At 34.5% G+C, this 20,259-nt stretch overlaps 1 protein-coding gene across 23 annotated transcripts in view; it reads left to right on the top strand.

The window, feature by feature from the left end:
* Positions 1-20,259, top strand: part of TMEM232 (transmembrane protein 232) — a 351,524-nt gene that overhangs the window by 153,341 nt on the left and 177,924 nt on the right. For all 23 annotated transcript variants that reach the window (XR_001742182.2, XR_001742181.2, XR_007058620.1 and 20 more), the window contains one exon: positions 16,989-17,167. Coding sequence is in view for 20 of the 23 variants with exons in the window: in XM_011543565.4 (XP_011541867.1) it covers positions 16,989-17,167 (179 nt within the window). In the remaining 3 variants the exon portion in view is untranslated. The remainder of the gene's footprint in view (positions 1-16,988; positions 17,168-20,259) is intronic.

Raw genomic sequence — 20,259 nt, 5'->3', positions numbered from 1 at the left:
GGAAGAAGAATCCCTGTGGCCAAATATTCTAAGACTGCCCACTTTTACTCCATTTTCCAAATCTTGAATAGAAGGCATATTTTGCGGTCTAAGAATGCTTTTTCCCAACAAACATTGTGAAAACCTGACAATTTTCTACCCTGTCAACACTGCTTCAACAATTAAAGCTTAATCTATGGAGCCTGTGGAAAATAGTTATTAACCATAGAGGTGAGACTTCACCCTCTAAATTTACTTCATCATCTTCACAAAGCCCCACATAACCAGGATGAAGGGAAAACATTGCTACTCTTCTCTAGAAGATTTGCTATCATTCCTACTAAATAATTTTAATCTAGCCCTGTACATGTTCAAACTAAAAGTTTCCTATTATCTCCCATTCTGTTTATTCCCTTGTATGGTTGGTAACTGTTCCTTTTGTTGGGATGGGCTAAAAACACACGCTGGAACTTTCAATCCAAAGCTTTTTACCATGTAAAGGTCTTCACCTACTTAAGAAGAAGGAGCTGGGAATCTTATGGGAATCGTCCTTACATATTTGAAGAATAAACAATACAAAGTATTCCATTCAGATCCAGTGGTCTAAAATCCACCTGTAGCTGAACACAGAGGGAAAAGACCCATGAACCAGAAATAATGCAATGTTTCCAAAGTATTTATGGTGCTAAAGTACATTCCAACTTGTCACTTTAAAAATTAATTTTTATAATAATATATCATAGCAGAGAAGAAAAAATAAGATAGATTTAGGCTTCCTATCTTAATTAATTATGGTGATATATATTCATTAATGAAAATAACTCGCTAAGTGCTTGTAAATTTCTTTGTTACAGTAGTAAGAATTATATTAAGATCCTTCAGCATGCTTCAGAATGTTTTTTCTGTCATTTAATATGGTCCAGAAATGAATGCTAAAATTATAGTGTCACTTTACACTTCACTCCTCCCATCCATCAAGAGTAACATAATATGTTCACAGACAGAGACATCACTAATTTAATCAAACACATGAATCCTGCATCTAGAGACACAATGTTTTACAGCAGATCTCTAGAACTTATTCATCTTGTATTACTGAAATGTTATACCCATTGATTCGCAATTCTCTTATTGCCTCCACCAACCTCTGGTAACTGCCATTCTATTCTTTGCCTCGGGCAGCTTAACTATTTTAGATACCTCATTTAGTGGAATCATGTAGTAGTTACCCTTCTGTGATTGGCTTAATTCACTTAGCGTAATGTTTTCAGGCTTCATCCATGTTGTTGCATATTGCAGGATTTTCTTTTTCTTCTTGGTGTGAATATATTTCATTTTATATATATATGACATTTTCCTTATCCATTCATCTGTCAACAGACATTTAGGTTGTTTCCGTATCTTGACTATTATAAACAGTGCTGCAATGAATATGGTAATGCTAATATCTCTTTGAGATCCTGATTTTAATTCCTTTGGATCAATATCCAGAAGTGGAATTGCCAGATCATATAGCCCTTCCATTTTTAATTTTTAGAGGAAATTGTATGCTGTTTTCTGTAGCAGTAATACCACTTTGCATTCCTACCAGTAGTGTACTGCAGGGATTCCAATTTCCTCACAACCCTGCCGACACTTGTCTTTTTCTTCTTTTTTTTTTTTTTTTTTGATAATAGATATTCTAACAGTTGTGAAGTGATATTTAATTGTGCTTTTGATTCGTATTTCCTTGATAATTAGTGATATTGAGCATATTTTCACATACCATTTGGCTACTTCTATGTTTCTTTGGAGAAATGTCTATTTAAGTCCTTTGCCCATTTTGTAATCAAGTTATTAGTTTTATTTTACTATTGAGTTTTAAGAGTTTCTTATTTTCAAGATTAATGTTTCAACATATAGATGTCTGCAAATATAATCCCCCCATTCTGTAAGATGTCATTTTACTCTGTTGATTTTTTCTTTTGTTGTACAGAAGCTTTTTTATTTGATGTAGTTCCACTTGAACTTATTTTTGTTTTTGTTGCCTGTGCTTTTGGTGTTATTTCCGAAAAATCATTGCTAAAACCAATTTTAAGAGTATTTTCCCCATATTTTCTTCTATGAGTTTTAGTTTCAGGTCTTCTGTTTGTCTCTAATCAATTTTGAGTTGATTTTTGTGTATAGCATAAGGGTCTAATTTTATTATTTATATATGGATATCCAGTTTCCCCAACACCATTTGTTGAAGAGACTATCCTTTTCCCATTATATATTCATGGTACTCATGTAGAATATCAGTTGGCCGTATATGTGTGGATTTATTTCTGGGATCTCTATTCTGTTCCATTAGTCTATATATCAGTCTTTAGGCTGGTACTGTTTTAATTTATGTAGCCTTGAAGTATACTTTGAAATCAGTAAATGTGATGCCTTTGACTTTGTTCTTTTTCAAGATTGTTTTGGCTAGTTGGGATCTTTTTAGGCCATTGAAATGTTTGAGTTTCTTTTTCTATTTCTGTCTAAAATGCCATTGAGATTTTGATGGAGACAGTATTGAATTTGTAGATTACGTTAGGTAGTGTAAACATTTTTAAAATATTAAGTATTTCAATCTAGGAACAAAGGATGTCTTTTCATTTGTGTCTCATTTAAGTTTTTAAACAATGTTTTGTGGCTTTTAATGCAGAAGTCTAACTAATTTGCTTAAATTTATTCCTAAGTATTTTATTCTTTTTGTTGCTATCATAAATGTAATGTTTTACTAATTTCCTTTTTGTATAGTTTGTTATTAGTGTATAGAAACAATTTTTGTGTGTTGATTTTGTACCATTCAAGTTTACTAAATTAGTTTACTTTATTGGTTTTAACGCACTTGATTTTGTGGGGTCTTTAGGATTTTCTTCATATAAGATTATGTCGTCTGCAAACAGAGATACTTTCACTTCTTCCTGTCTTATTTGGATGCCTTTTATTTGTTTATCTTGCCTAATTGCTCTGGCTAGCACTTTCAGGACTCTGTTAAATAGACATCACCAGAGTAGACAACCTTGGCTTGTTCCTGGTACAGGTAGTGAGCTCCAGGTTAGTGAACATAGTACCCAATAATTAGTATTTCAGCCACTGCCTCTTCCCCTCGTTTCCACCTCTAGTAGTCCCAGTGTCTATTATTGCCATCTTTATGTCCGTGTGTACTCAATGTTTAGCTCCCCCTTATAAGTGAGAACATGTGGTATTTGGTTTTCTGTTCCTATATTAATTTGCTTGGGATAATGGTTTTCAGTTGCATACATGTTGCCATAAACGATATTATTTCATTCTTTTTATGGCTGTGTAGTATGCCATGGTGTATATGTACCATATGTTTTTTATCCAGTTCACTGTTGATGGACATCTAGGTTGATTCCATGTCTTTGCTATTATGGATAGTGCTACAATGAATGTACAAGTGCATGTTGTCTTTTTGGTAGAATAATTTATTTTCTTCTGGGTATATACGCAGTAATGAGATTGCTGAGTCGAATCATAGTTCTGTTTTAAGAACTTTGAGAAATCTCCAAACTGCTTTCCACTGTGGCTGAACTAATTTACATTCCCACCAACAGTGTATAAGCATTCCCTTTTCTCTGCAACTTTTGCCGGAATCTGTTATTTTTTGATTTTTAAATAACAGTCACTCTGTTTGGTGTGAGATGGTATCTCATTGTAGTTTTAATTTGCATTTCTCTAATGACTAGAGATGTTGGACTTTTTTATATGCTTTTTGGATGCATGTATGTCTTCTTTTGAGAAGTGTCTGTTCATGTCCTTGCCCATTTTTTTTAATGGAGTTGTTTGGTTTTTCCTTTTTAATTTGTTTAAGTTCCTTATAGATTCATCAGACCTTTGTTGGATGCATACTTTGCAAATATTTTCTCTCATTTTGTAGGTTGTCTGTTTACTCTGTTGATGGTTCCTTTGACTGTGCAGAAGCTCTTTAATTAGTTCCCACTTGTCAATTTTTGGTTTTGTTTTAATTGCTATTGGTGTCTTCATCATGAATTCTTTCTCAGAGCCTGTGTCAAGAATGGCATTTCTTAGGTTTTCTTCTAGGATTTTTATAGTTTGTAGTCTCACATTTAAGTCTTTAATTAAGTCTGAATTAATTTTTGTATATAGTTTAAGGAAGGGGTCCCAGTTTCAATCTTCTGCCTATAGCTAGCAAGTTATCCCAGCACCACTTATTGAATAGAGAGTACTTTCTCACTTCTTGTTATTGTTGACTTTGTCAAAGATCAGATGGTTGTAAGTATGTGGCTTCATTTCTCGGTTCTCTATACTGTTCCACTGATCTGTGTGTCTGTTTTTGTACTAGTACCATGCTGTTTTGGCTACTGTAGCCTTGTTGTATAGCTTGAAGTTGGTTAATGTAATGCCTCTGGCTTTGTTCTCTTTGCTTAGGATTGCTTTGGCAATTTGGGCTATTTTTCAATTTCATATGAATTTTAGAATTGTGTTTTTTTTCTATTTCTGTAAAAAATAATACTGGTAGTTTGGTAAGAATTGTGTTGACTCTGTATATTGCTTTGGGCAGTATAGCCATTTTATGATATTAATTATTCTGTCCATGAGCATAGAATGTTTTTCCATTTGTTTGTATCACCTCTGACTTCTTTCAGCAGTGTTTTATAGTTCTCCTTATAGAGATCTAACCACCTCCTTGGTTAGATCTATTCCTAGGTATTGTATTTCTTTGTGGCTATTGTAAATGGGATTGCATTCTTGATTTGGCTCTCATCCACTATTAGTTGGTAGTTTCATTCCACTGTGGTTGAAAAACATTTAGCATAGTTTCAATCTTCTTGAATTTGTGAAGACGTTCATTGTGACCTATTAAGTGATCTGTTCTGGAGAAATTTTTATGTGTACTTGAAAAAAAAATTATCCTGTTTGGGGTTATGTGATCTGTATATGCCTTTTAGGTCTATTTAGTCTTTAGTATTGTGCAAGTTGGCTGTTTCTTCATTAATTTTCTGTCTGGTTGTCATCCTTATTATTGAAATTTCCTACTATTATTGTATTGCTGTATTTCTCCCTTTAGTTCTGTCAATGTTTGCCTCATATATAGTTATGCATTGCTTAAGAATAAGGATATGTTCTTAAAAATGCATCATTAGGCAATTTTACCACTATGCAAGCATAATAGAGTATACTTACACACACCTAGATGGTATAGCCTACTAAATACCTAGGGTACCTGGTATAGCCTATTGCTCCTAGGCTACAAACATATACAGTATGTTAATGTACTGAATACTATAGGCAATTGCAACACAATGCTAACTGTTTGTGTCTCTAAACATAGAAAAGGTAATGCATTGCACTACAACATTACAACAGCTAAATGTCACCAGCTAATATAATTTTTTTCAACTCTATCCACTATAATCTTATGGGACAACTGTCATATATGCAGTCTGTTGTTGACTGAAACACTGTTATGTGGCAAATGTCTGTATTTAGGTGCTCTTATCTTGGTTGCATATATATTTATAATTGTTATATCTTTTTAGTGGATTGATCCTTTTATATTACATAATATTTTTCTTAGTCTATTGTGACCGTTTTTTGACTTAAAGCCTGTTTCTTTTTTCTGTATAAGTATAGCCACTCTGGCTTCTTTTCATTATCATTTGCGTAGAATGTCTTTTCCATGCCTTACTTTCAGCCTATGTGTATCCTTAAATATAAAGTGACCCCCTTATAGATACTTTATGTTTGGGTCCTATTTTTTTATACACTTAGCCACTTTATGTCTTTTGATTGGGAAGTTTAATCTACGTTTAAAGTAATTATTGATATATAAGGATTTATTATTGCCATTTTGTTACATGTTTTATTTTTGTCTCTCTTTTCCTGCTCTGTCTTCTTTTGTGTGTGTGTGTATGTGTTTGTGTTTGTTATTTGCATGCCTTGATTCCTTTCTCTTTTTCTTTCGTGTAACTTCTGTAGGTATTTCCTTTGAGATTAATATGGGTCTTACCTAAAATACAACAATCTATTTTGTGTTGAAAACAACATCAATCTTATACAAAACTCTACACTTCTCAAAGCTCTAATAAACATTTTATGCTTATGATGTCACAATTAACATCTATTTATATTATGTATACATTAACATATTTTTAAATTGATTTACTTACCATTGTTATACTAATATAGTATTAAGTGTAGTATTAAGTATCAAGATCTTTACCAATGAGTTTTATATTTTCTTATGCTATCATATTGTAGTTTAGCATCCCTTTTTTTCAAGTTGAAGAACTCCCTTTAGGATTTGTTGTAAGGCAATTCTAGTTATAATGTGTTCCCTCAACTTTTGTTTGTCTGAGAAAGTATTTCGGTTTTTTTTTTTTAAACTGCAGTTTTCCAGGTATAGTATCTTCCTGGCAGATTTTTTTTCTTCCATCCCTTTGAACATATCATCTCACTCCCTTCTGGCAGGCAAAATTCCTGCTTAAAAAAATCTTTGGGTAGTCTTACAATCATCCCCTTGACATGACAAGTTGTTTTTCTCTCACTGCTTTCAAAATTATCTCCTATACTTTTGATATCTAGAATATAATGTGTCTCAGTGTGAATTTCTTTGGGTTAATTTTATTTGAGATCTTTTGGGCCTCCTGGATCTGGATGTACATTTTTCTTCCTAGATTTGCGAAGTGTCCAGCCAATTGTGTTTTCTAAATTGTATAGCACTGTGCAAATGGTAGGGGTTATGGCACAAGGGTGTTTCTGCTTTTACTACTGGTTTTAGTGTGGCTAGATTTACATGCTAAATCTAAGCCCTTCTACTAGTTTCTGGATTTTTCATAATGAGAATTGATCCATTTGTTCCTATCGAATTGATGTTTCCACGATAGAAAAGAGAGTCCAGTGTTTTCTATTATGCCATCTTGCCGATGTCACGAGAATTTTTTCACTTTTTAAAGAGATCCCTTCTAATCAGTGGTTACTGAGTAGAAGAATTAATAAAAGTCCTCAAATGGGATGAAGTAGGAAATATTTAGGTAAGAAGAGGAGGAGAAATAACACCAATACGATTTCAAGAAAGGCAGTTATAGGTGAACAAATTTTCACTGGACTAGATTTGGTGTCACCAATTTTGGATGTCAGCAATTTTGGATGAGTCACAGCTCAGTTTTAGATTACTTAAGGCAACTTGTTATATCTCTCGGAATCTTAGTTTCTTCAAGATTATGGGTTTTAAAAAGGTTTTGCATGTAACATAATGTAGTTATAAAGGTAAAATATTCATATTCTTTTTTACAATTTCCAAGAACATTTTTGTTATTTTCTTCTTTATTTCCTTGTTGCCCCTGGAATACAGAAATCTGTGAGAATTATCTACTTATAATTATTATTCCATCTCTTGGTAGAATAAATTTAGCTTAGTGAAATTTAAAATAAATCCAAAAGTCAGAAGTCTGATATTCCTGTAGTTTATTTATTAGAATCACAATTATTATTGAAAAGAGAATCAACTACTTTTATCCTTGGTTTCCAGTTAGAATTCCAGAAGTTAATTATTTTTATATGTTTTTGTAATATCATTTTTTTAATTTTTAATTTTAATTTTTTAACTTCTATTTTAAATTCAGAGATACAAGTACAGTTTTGTTACATAGGTAAACTTGTGTCATGGGGATTGGTTGTACAGATTATTTTATCACCCAGGTCACTATCACTAAGCCTAGTACCCATTAGTTATGTATCCTGATCTTCTCCCTCCTCCCACCCTCCACCCTCCAAAAAGGCCCCAGTGTATGTTGTTCCTCTCTGTGTCTCCATGTGTTGTCATCATTTAGCTCCCACTTATAAGTAAGAACAGGCAGTATTTGGTTTTCTGTTCTTGTATTAGTTTCTAAGGATAATGGCCTTAAGCTCCACCCATGTCCCTGCAAAAGACATGATCTCATTATTTTTTATGGCTACATAGTATTCCATGGCATGTGTGTACCACATTTTCTTTATCCAGTCTACTATTCATAAGCATTTAGGTTGATTCTATGTCTTTGCTGCTGTGAATAGTGCTGCAGTGAATATACACATGCATGTGTCTTCATAATAAAATGATTTATAGTCCTTTGGGTATATACTCAGTAATGAGATTGCTGGGTAGAATGGTATTTCTGTCCTTAGGTCTTTGAGGAATTGCCACACTGTCTTCCACAATAGCTGAACTAATTTACTCCCACCAACAGTGTATAAGCATTTCTTTTCCTCCACAACTTCACCAGCACCTGTTATTTTTTTACTTTTAACAATTGCCATTCTGACTGGTGTAAGATGGTATCTCATTGTGGTTTTGATTTGCATTTCCATACTGATCAGTAATGTTGAGCTTTTTTAAAATATGATTGTTAGCCACATGTGTGTCTTCTTTTGAGATGTGTCTGTTCCTATCTTTTGCCTACTTTTTATGGGATTTTTTTTCTTGTAAATTTGTTTAATTTTCTTATAGTTGCTGCATGTTAGATATTTGTCAGATACATAATGTGCAAAAATTTTCTCCCATTCCCAAGATTGTCTACTCTGTTCATAGTTTCTTTTGCTGTGCAGTAGCCGTTTAGTTTAGTTATATTCCATTTCTCAAGTTTTGCTTTGTTGCAATGCTTTTGGTATCTTCGTCATGACTTATTTGCTTGTGTGTGTGTCCTGGATAGTATTGCCTAGGTTGTCTCCCAGGATTTTCATAGTTTTGGGTCTTACAGTTAAGTTTTTAATTGATATCGAGTGAATTTTTGTACATAGTGTTAGGAAGTGGTCCAGTTTCAATCTCCTGCATGTGGCTAGCCAGTTATCTCAGCACCATTTATTGAATAGGAAATCCTTTCCCCAGTGCTTGTTTTTGTTAGGTTTACTGAAGATAAGATAATTGTAGGTGTGTGGTCTTATTTCTGGGTTCTCTATTCTGTTCCATTGGTCTATGTATCTGTTTTTGTATCAGTATCATGCTGTTTTGGCTAATGTAGCCCCGCAGTATAGTTTGAAGTCGGGTAGCTTAATGCCTCCAGCTTTGTTCTTTTTGCTTAGAATTGCCGTGGCTATTCAGGCTTTTTTTGTTGTTATTCCATATAGATTTTCAGTATTTTCTAGTTCTGTCAAGAATGTCAGTGATAGTTTAATAGGAATAGCACTGAATCTATAAATTGCTTTAGGCAGTATGGCCATTTTAACAATATTGATTCTTCTTATCTATAAGCATGGAATGTTTTTCCATTTGTTTGTATTGTCTTTGATTCCTTTGAGCAGTGGTTTGTAGTTCTCCTTGTAGAGATCTTTCACTGCCATAGTTAGCTGTATTCCTTGGTATTTCATTCTTTTTGTGACACTTGTGAATGGGAGTTCATTCCAAATTTGGCCTTAGGCTGGACCGCTTTTGGTGTATAGGAATGCTAACAATTTTTGCGCATCGATTTTGCATGCTGAGACTTTGCTGAAGTTGTTAATCAGCTTAAGAAGCTTTTGGGCTAAGACAATGGGGTTTTCAAAAAGTAGGATCATGCCATCTGCAAACAGAGATAGTTTGACTTCCTCTCTTCCTATTTAGATGGCCTGCAAGGTGCTGTGGAATTGAAGTCTGCGGACCATCACTGCGCGGCCCCCTGGATTCAGCCTCTTTCCTAGGAGTATGTACAGGGACCTAACCTCCTTTTTTGCTGGAGTTGTGGCTACTTTTGCCAGGAAGCCCAGAAAGCAAGAACATCTAAGCTCCCGGGTCCCCTTGTATGCCTGAGCAGCTGCTCTGCTGAAACTCTACATAACCCTGTGTCAGACTGTAGGCCCTGGTGGAGGGGATTCATGATGTATCTCCTGACCTGAGGGTTGCAAAGATCTGTGGGAGAAGCATGGTTTCCCAGGGTCACACATTCACTCACTGCTTCTCTGAGTGGGGGAGGTTTGCTTGGCTCCATGTTGCTCCCTGGTTGGCCACCATTCTGCCTTGCTTTTCTCCATTCTCCATGGGTTGAGTTGTTTTTTGATTAGTCTCAACTGTAGTACCTGAATGGTTCATTTGAAGGTGCTGTATTTACTCGCCCCTTCCATTTCTCTCCACAAGAGCCACACACCTTAGCTGCTTCTAGTCAGCCATCTTGGCCACAATAATTATTTTTAGTTAATACATTTTCATAATTGACAATTAGAAAAGATCATGAAATTTCAAGTTAAGCAAATTCTACTCAGTGTCTTCATTATTCATCTACCTTTTGGCATCCTATTTGCAATTGTGCTTCAATCAACTACCACATTCTAATAAAAGAATCAGCTAACTTTTAAAGTTTGGTTTTCCATATTACCTACAACAAAATATGGGCATATAATACCTCAGTTCTCTTCAGTTTATTCTGTTGAATATTTGTTTAATATATGTAATGATCAATAATGATGATATATGCAAAATAACAATTTCACTAATATATATTATGTACATATATAGTGATACATATATCATCATTATCATTATTTGTATTATTATAGTATAACAATATTCTGAAAATAGTGTCCTAGAATTCTTTGTATCCTGCTATCCAAAAGTATATTCCTAATTTTTCTACCCCTATCTCTATTGTTGTCTCCTCTGAAGTTCAAGAGTCCTCATGACTACCCTCTCTTTTGACACCAGCTGCAAGTTTGGGAGTCTCCAGAACCACCCTCCCTTCTAACACCAACTACAAGTCTGGAGATCCCTAAGACATCACTCATGTTTGATAATTTGCTAGAAGGACTCACAGAATTCAGCAAGGTCATTTTACTCAGGGTTATGGTTTATATGTGAAAGGATATAAATTAAAATCAGCCAAAGGAAGAGGTACATAGAGCAGAGTCCAGGAAAGACTCAAGTACAGAGCTTCCCATTATCCTCTCCCAGAGAAGTTGTGTGAAGAACATTTACTTCTAGCAATGATGTGTGACAATATACATAGAGTATGGTCAACTATGGAAGTTCACCAAGCTTTGCAATTTACAATTTTTGGGGGGGCTTGGTCACATACACTTGGTTAACTGCCTGCAGCATGGCTGTCTCTAGTATCTGGCCCCACCAATGTTCAAACTGATAGAGTGTGGCCCAAGCCACCCCACCATGAATCAAATCTTATAGCATAAACTATTTAACATACCCAAAGACCCCAGGTAAATAATGTCATTTTTATTAGTCAGGACATTCCAAGGCCTATGAGATTACTGCCCAGAGCCAAGGACAAAGGCCAACCCTCTCTTTGAGCATGGTTAATTCTTTAGTGTACCTTTGCCAAGTCCAAACTATCATCACTTTGCTTCTAGATTACTTCAAAGAGTTAAATGTCTTCCTGCTTCCCTCTTATATTCCATAGAGTCCATTTTCTACCAAGAAGCGAAAAGGTAAAATGTGACAGTTCCTTTTCTCATTTAAAAAGCTATAATACAAAGTAGCAGACATATAGGATGAACAAGTCTAGAGAGCTAATGTAGAACATGAAGCTTATAGGTAATAAAATTGTATCCAGGGAAAATGTACCTTTTACTAGTATTCTATTGAGAGAGGAATGAGTTGTTGACTAATATTTAACAAGCATCTTATGATTTTGAATTAGTGAAAAAAAAAGCCATGATAGTTATTTGTTATACTAAGAATAAAATCTGAACTCTTTTCCATGGCCCACAAATTGGCTGTGACCATTCAGAGTGTATCTAAGTAAAGGTCATACCTACCTGACATAGTCTTGTCCCATGACCCTCAGGTGTCTTGTAATACATTCGTTCTGTATTTTCTCCTCTTTCTCTAAACTAGCAAGCTATTCTAGGTTCAAAGCCTTTGCATTTTTCATCCTCCACTCTTGGAAATGCTTTTCCCTTGTTCCTTCAATGATTAACTCTTCTTCATCAGCTAGATCTTAGCTTGAATATCACCTCCTCATGGAAGTTTTGCTCTCATTCTGTCTACAGTAGTTTTCTTCTTCTAGTCATTGTTGGTCATATTACCATCTTCTATTATTCTCATAACATTCATAATAAACTGATACTGTTATACTTACTTTCTTTATATCTGTCTCTGTCCATTGGAATTAAGTATACCAAGAGAAGCAGTTTGTCTTTTTCTTTAGTACAGAGAACAGTGGCTGGCATCTAGCATTCACTCAGTAAATATTAGTTAAATGCATGGCTGGCTGACTGGTTCTTGTCCAACCATTAGTTTCTTGGCGTTGATCTAGTTCCTTCAACTCTACATGGCATTGCATAACATCAGTGTTTTGAACCACATTCTACATTTGAATTACCTTTAAGTGGCACATTTGATTTTGTAGTGTCATATTATATTTGACAGAATTGCAAAGGCTATACTTATGTACACTCATTCATATAAGTAGAAATATTCATATTTCGCTTTCACTAAATATATGAAATGTAAGTCTCTTCAGTGGCAATTAAAGTCTATCAAAGGGTTCAAACACTGGAATAAGGCATTACTAATAAAAAGAAAAGGCATAATATTGATTTTCAAGTACAGTGGTGGTTTCTTAATAAAATTTTTGAATTTATTAAGAACTTGTTTTGGTTTGGCTTTTTTATATCCTAGGATACTGTCTGCTTAGCTGCAGACACAGACATATTTTCTCTCAGTATATTTAAAGTGATATCTTTGATAGCTGCCACAGGGTCACGCAAAGCAGAACAGAAGAGTGCCTTATGCTACAGCTTGGTCCCTTGTTGAAACATTTCATAGCAGGCATGCTTCTCAGCAAATGTCTAGATGTGCAAATTAGAATGTGGTCTACTTTTTATGACAGTTGTAACACATACCATCTGTCTTTATAAGGTTTTTTTTCTTCATTAACTGTCAGTCAGTTGGGTGTAATGATTCTCCCTGTGAATATTATTCATCAGCAGCACTTCAATTGAGTTTAAATCAACAGGTGAACAGCTCACTTTTAAAAATATGAATGGAATTTAAAAGGAATTGTGACTTACTAAAACATAACTATCAGAATATATTTTATGGTTTATCATTGATCTTGTGGATTCTAAAACCAAAGTGTATTCATTTTGATAATTCAACTATTGTAGTTTTATAAAATATTGACCTTCAATAAGTAATAATTTAAAATACATAGAGGAAAGTGGTTTGTATGTGTTTTTGTCAGTCATTTGTGTTAATGTTGAGAGTCTGTAAGTAAATGTAGAAATTAGTTAAAATTCACTGTATGTTTTATTTGTAATATTGTTCAAAAACTTATTTTTTCTCAGAGGCTCACAATCCAGAATTATTAACTTAAAAAATAATGTGTTTCCTTACTTATATTGACTTCAAGCTAATGACCCACAAATCAGCAATCTCAGTCTTGCTATTTTACTTGCATTCTAGCCATATTTTTACAACAAACTACAGGACATTGAACATTAGAGTCTCCCTTCCCATGCCACATTTTCCAAATAATATTTATCTTCTTTTTCTTAAAAGTGACTCTTCTATACACTCTTCTCATTTCTTCAAGTGGTTTTATTATTGTTTCAGTCTCCTGAGCTTAAAAATGTACTTCTCCTTTCCCCTGTATTTCTGACTCTTTCCCCATAGCTAAGAAGTCCAATTAGATCTTCTCCACAGTGTCTTAAGTTTCTGCCCCTTCCTTGCCAATCTCCTGCTGCCCATTGCAGTAAAGACCTAGATTACCTCATAAAACTCCTGTATTGGTTTCCCAGTTTATTGCTTGAATAAACATGACATTGCATTGAGCAGACATAACGTTACTCCCTTCCTCAAACATCTACGATTTAATCTGATCCCCTTTATCTTTAGCTAGCTTTGGTACCTTATCTATTTTTTTTTAACCATAGCTCACTGTAGCCTCAAACTTTGTGGGTGAAGTGATCTTCCCAACACAGCCTCCTGAGTACCTGGGACTACAGATGTGCACCACTATGCCCAGCTAATTTAAAAAAAAAACAAAAAAACAAAACAAACAAACAAAAAAAACAACTATAGAGATAGGGTCTCGGTATTTTGCCCAAGCTAGTCTTGATCTCCTGGCCTGCCTCAAGCAATCCTCCTGCCTCAGCCTCTCCAAGTGCTGGGATTACAAATGTGAGCCACCATGACTGGCCTCTTATTTATTTTTAGTATAAACTGTCCACCTTAGCTTCATTTGAGATCCTTACTATCATCTCTTCCCTTCTCTGTCTGTATAACTACCTCACTACTGGGGGCCATATTCCTGACCTAAATGTCTTGATTTGCTGTGGACTTTCCCAGTTTTGTCCTTGAAAGCTTGTGTTCCAAGAAACACTTCAGCCCCAGGCAAAGGGACTTAGTTGTTCTCTCTACCTACTTCCCTAATTCAATTAACAGATTTTTATAAATTAGATCTACTATGTTGTAGGTACTTTGTTGTAGGCACTTTGCTATATGCTAGGAATATCTGAGCGAATAAAAGATATTCTCTCTTCTCCAGTAGTTTATAATCCATAGGTGAGATATGCAAGTACAATATGATACAATACATCAGGCACAAGGGCACCTAGCTAGCCATGGAGATTCAGAGAAGGATTCCTAATAGAAAGAATGCAGGAGTCTCGATAGAAGCCAGGTGTAGTGTGGAGTTAATTTTGGACAGGATAATTTCTGGTTAAGTGAAAAGTTTATACAAGAGCTAGAAGATTAAATGAGATGTGTATTCTAGAACTTCCAGTAGTTTTGTCTGTTTGTAGTGTATTAGCAAGAGGGGGTGGGATTAAAGGAGTGGTGATAGATGTGTTCCAAAATGATGTCATATTAGAAAGACAGACAGTAATTGCCTGGCCATGCGATTTGGAATTTACATAGGGACAAATGGCAATCCTTTGCTGAGTTGTGAGTAGAGAAGTAACATAATGAGATTTAGAAAGGTCAGTTTCCACAACGTGGATTAGTAATGGTGAAGCAGTAAATAATAAGACAGGAAGATGAAAGAACTAGGAAGCTATTACAGTATTTATTCTCAGAGCTAACCTTTTTTCAGATATCCTTCCATTTGAAATACTCACCCAATATCTTCGTCTGCACTTTTCCCAAATTTACCTATTGGACAAGTCTTCTAAACTCATACTTTCTCCAGCCCTTTCCTTACTCTTCTAGCCCTCATTGATCTCTTGCTTTTGTGATTGTTATATCAATGACCATCATCTTTTCATTTAACAGTTACCCTCTAATTTCTCTTACAAATTATTCTCATGTCCCAGACTTGCCAATTACTTGAAGATACAGATTATCTTTTTCTCACTTTAGTCAAGACTATTCACAAAGAAAATGGTTTAAGAAAACCCCAAAACCTTAAATTTGGGCTTTTTTATTATAGTCCAAATGTTCAGTGCAAAAATATTAATGCCATTCATTCAAAAAACTTGTTTTATATGTTATTTCAAATATTGTGATGTCTCAATTTAAATTAGTAAAGTTCCTATAAGGAGAAAATGACGTTTCAAAAATAATTGGCTGCTTAACTGTAGCTTCCTACTTCCAGCTTATACTTTCTCTCCTAAAGTTCCAATAATAGAAAAGGTAGATGATACCTTAAAATTGGAAACTGGATATATGCCTTCCTCCTATTACTTGTAAAACATGTACGTACTTTCTCTTCTGCCTCCTCTTCCTTTCAAAATCTTTCTTTCCTATGAATGGAATGGAAGGTCATGACTAGAAAGAAAAGTACTTGTGTAAATTGGAGAGACTGTGCTGCATGGGACAGGATTAGACCAGCCTTTACCTGCTCTATCATTCATTCAACAGCTGTCTGATGCCAGGGAGCTTTCTAAGCAAGTTCAAGTTTATATGTTCCCTTTTATTATTCTAAGTATATATAATAACATCTACATAGCAGGATTGTAGTGAGAACTAAAATTGGACCACATAGTTAGTACCCCCTCCGGTACTAGCTATAATAATAATAATGATTGTTATTAACCTGCATTATGAAAACTAGATTCATTTGGAAAAGTTGAGGATTGTGACTTTTCATGTTGTTCTTCTATCTTTATTCAAGAAGGGCAATAATCATCAATGGACTGTCACCAGGGTTTTGGAGAAAAGTGCAATATGGAATTTAAAGGGCTTTAAAACTCTTCCAGCTCCCTTTCTGAACCATTTCCTCTTCTTATTCTTCTTATCTGCTTCACATACTCAGTATTTTCATGTTGGTTTTTGGCTAAGTTCATCTCTTCTATGATAACTGTATTATTTTATTCCCCAAATTTATTTCTCCCAAATCTACCTAAATTGGAATTCTTTCTTCCTATTACTGCATAGCAATATACAATATCTAGGTAAGAAATAATTACTATAAAGAGTAAATAGGAATGTCTTTCTCCTTTCTCTAAGGAAAATACATATTTTGAAAGTGGAACTTGGTAATGTATATAAATTGCTAATTGCTATATAAGTTCTAGAAGAGGAGTGTCTTAGAGTTTTTAAATCTCTGTTTTCATTACTTTTTCCTATATTCCAACTGATTTATTTCACTATTATTGAAATGAATTTTTCACCTTATAATTATAACAGTAGTTTTTGTATGCTTTTCACATGATTTGCACATTTTCTTCTTGGTTCAAATACCATGTTTCATAATGTTTGACTTTTTTAATAACAGGAAGTATTTTTCTGGTTTCTCTACTTTATTATAAAAATTCACCATGGTGGCCTGTGTTCATATTCCTTTGAACAGATTCCTCTTTACTTGAATTCTAAGAATTTATTTTGTGTATGTAGTTTACAGTTTACCCATTTAACTTTTAAATTTATGAAGTATACCAGTTAGGTGCAGTTTTTCTTTTCATGTGGTTAGAAATTTTAAAATGATCTGTGATCTGTTTTAAATGTAAAGGAGAGAAAGCAGTGAAGGGTCAGAAATTTCCACAGCTTAGAATTTCAGACTTTAGAATATTATTATGAATTATAGTAAAATTGGTTTATTCTGTTTCACACAATCATACTTTAGCAAGGTGAATAAAATGATAATTCCCAAAGACTTTTTCTTTTTAAACAGGTGATCAAGTAGTCTGGACTGGTTACTATGGCTTAGTGTATAACCTGGTGAAAATTTCATGGGAACTTCAAGGAGACGAAGAACAGGATGGACTTAGAAACATGATATGGCAAACATTGCAGAAAACAAAGGATTATGAGGAAGATGTACGAATCCAAAATGCAATCAATATAGCTCAGGTAAGGTAAAACACTGGGCAATAAATATGTACATCTATCATTAGGAAGCACGGTTGTCATTTCTCTCCATGGTAAAAGGAATGTCTACATTCAGTGAGTATTAATGACTTACAGGTGAGAATAATATTTTTAAAACTTAACACTGATCTATTTTTGATTAAAGATAGGAGAGTTGAGCTCTAGACGGTAGTGTAAAGGCCACCAAAATCTGTAATAGAAACAGAATTAAATTCATTTAACACATCTAGGGAAAAGTACACCTCAGTAAGGGGTGATTCCACCATAGAACTCTGACTTGGTGGGAAATTCTGATAGACATGTTAGGTACACTAGATTGAAGTAGCATGTTAAGCCATGATTCTTTTTCTCTTTTCTTGATGAAGACATTTAGAAAGTAATGGAAGTTTTAAGGAGCATAACACAATCCTCTAATTTGAGGGCTATGTTAGGATGAGCTGTGAAGGAGCTGCATAGGGGCACTTTCACTACCTCATAGCAAGGGCTGCCAAAAGAGGCAGGCTGTTGGTAAGATTCAAATAGGAGGGGCAAGGGGCATTTTTATGATGTAGCTTTTTATGATGTTAGGAATCCAGACACCTATTCTCTCACTTGAGCATTTCCTCCCTTGTCTAGTTCAGTGACCAGAAATACCAGGAAGAAGGCTGAACACAGCCATATCATGACACTGGACTAGAGAAAGTGTAAAGGTGGTCTTAACTTCAGTGATTTCAACACACATAGAAAATAAATAGGTAAAGGTAAAAGTTCCTTTGTTGGGTTACCCACTAGCTCCAAGACTCTTCCCTCTCCTCTCAGCCTGCTTGACTACTATATTTGTAAATCAACCTATATCTCCTAGCCTAAATTATAATTTAGAAGCTTAAAGGGCATCCTATAGTTAGTGAGAGGACACAAGAACATTTTATTTTTATAATTTTGGTAATAACACATTAAACAACTACCATATTAAAGGAAAAACACACAGAAACATCTGTTTTTTTCAATGCTGTATCCCAATACACACAATAAGTGCTCAATAAATATAGGTTGAATTAACAGTCCAAATGGGTTCCCTTTAAATATTAACATACATGCTATAACCATGTTTAATAATTAAATTTAATATTGATTAAATTAATGGTAAAATTATTTTTAAGATAAAAATAAAAATAATTTTATTATTAAAAATAACAAAATTAAAGAGTAACATCTACAATTCTTTGGAAATTAAACATGCCTTGATAAATGATATGGTTTGGCTGTGACCCCACCCAATCTCATCTTGAATTATAGTTCCCATCAACCCCACGTGTTATGGAAGGTACCTGGTGGGAGTTAATTGAATCATGGGAGTGGGTTTTTTCCCATGTTGTTCTCATAATAGTAAATAAGTCTCATGAGATCTGATGGTTTTATAAAGACAGTTTCCCTGCACATGCTCTCTTGCCTGCTGCCATGTAAAACATGCCTTTGTTCCTCCTTCACCTTCCACCATGATTTTGTGGCCTCTCTAGCCATGTGGAAATGTGAGTCCATTAAACCTCTTTTTCTTTATAAATTACCCAGTCTTGGGTATTTCTTTGTAGCAATACGAAAATGGACTGATACAGTAAATTGGGATTGGTAGAGTGGGGTGCTGCTGTAAAGATACCTGAAAATGTGGATACAACTTTGGAACTGAGTAACAGGCAGAAGTTGGAACAGTAAGAAGAGCTCTGAAGAAGATAGAAAAATGTGGGAAAGTTTGGAACTTCTAGAGATGTGTTGAATGGCTTTCACCAAAATGCTGATAGTGATGTGGACAATGAAGTCCAGACTGAGGTGGTCTCCGATGAAGATGAGGAACTTGTTGGGAACTGGAGTAAAGGTCACTCTTGCTATGCAAAGAGACTGGCAGCATTTTGCCCCTGCTCTAGAGATCTGTGGAACTTTGAACTTGAGAGAGATAATTTAGGGCATCTGGCAGAAAAAAATTCTAAGTGACAGAATCTTCAAGAGGAAGCAGAGCATAAAAGTTTGAAAAATTTGCAGCCTGCATCCCATTTTTTGGGAAGGAATTCAAGCCTGCAGCAGAAATTTGCATAAGTAACAAGGAGCCAAATGCCAATGACCAAGACAAAAGGGAAAATGTGTCCAGGACATGTCAGAGACATTCCCAGCAGCCCCTCCCATCACAGTCTTGGAGGCCTAGGAGCTCTGGGAATAATTTTTTAAATGTTTGTAAAAAATAAGAAAAAGTTTAAATTGAAAGTACATTTAGAAAAATAAAAGCAGACTATAAAAAGCATAGAACTGATAAATCCTAAAATGGTTTCCTTGGGTAAAATAAAAATAATACATAAACTATTTTAGACTAGCTAATATAATGGAAAAATGAGGGAAACTTTTATTAATCACAAAATCTGGAAGGGTAAAGGGAATGTGATTATAAGAAAGTAATTGGAAAATGATTATAAAAGGATCAATTTACAACTGTATGCTAATATATATGAAAATATAGTGCAATAAATGATTTTCTAAGAAAATATAAATGATGAAAATTGACTGTAGAAAGGATATAAAAATCTTAACAAACAAGATTTAGAGAAATTTGCAAGTGACCTACTAGATTTGTTCATATGAATATCAAGGATAAGACTAACATATTCATTAATATTGCTAATATTTAACATTGTTATTGACACACTAACCTGTGCACTCACATTTAGCAGGTAACTGAATATATGTTGGGTCATAACTGGAGAATGTTTAAACCAAGTTTGTCATACCAAAGCAGTAGGTGAGAGTAGCTAAACACTTGGGAACAGAGAAAAAATAATTCCGTTTAAATTCCAACTCCACACAATCTCTTTATTCAGATGGGACTTGGAACAAGTTATTCCTCAGCCTTAGTTTTCTTATTTTTGAAAACTGTATGCCAAGGGATATTTCTAATGCTCACAGACAGCGATAGTAAGTGAAAATCTCATAAGAGACAGGAAAGCTGAGTGATTTTGAGAGCACAGAACCTACAGCAAAGGTTGCCTGGGTTCAAATGGCTGTTCTACCACAGAGTATCTAAGTGACCTTGGGCATATTTTTACTTCAGTTTC

The sequence above is a fragment of the Homo sapiens genome, chromosome 5 (assembly GCF_000001405.40).
Source record: "Homo sapiens chromosome 5, GRCh38.p14 Primary Assembly".
Classification (NCBI taxonomy): Eukaryota; Metazoa; Chordata; class Mammalia; order Primates; family Hominidae; genus Homo; species Homo sapiens.
The sequence above is the reverse complement of the archived record's forward strand: the minus strand, read 5'-3'. Positions and strand labels throughout refer to the sequence as shown.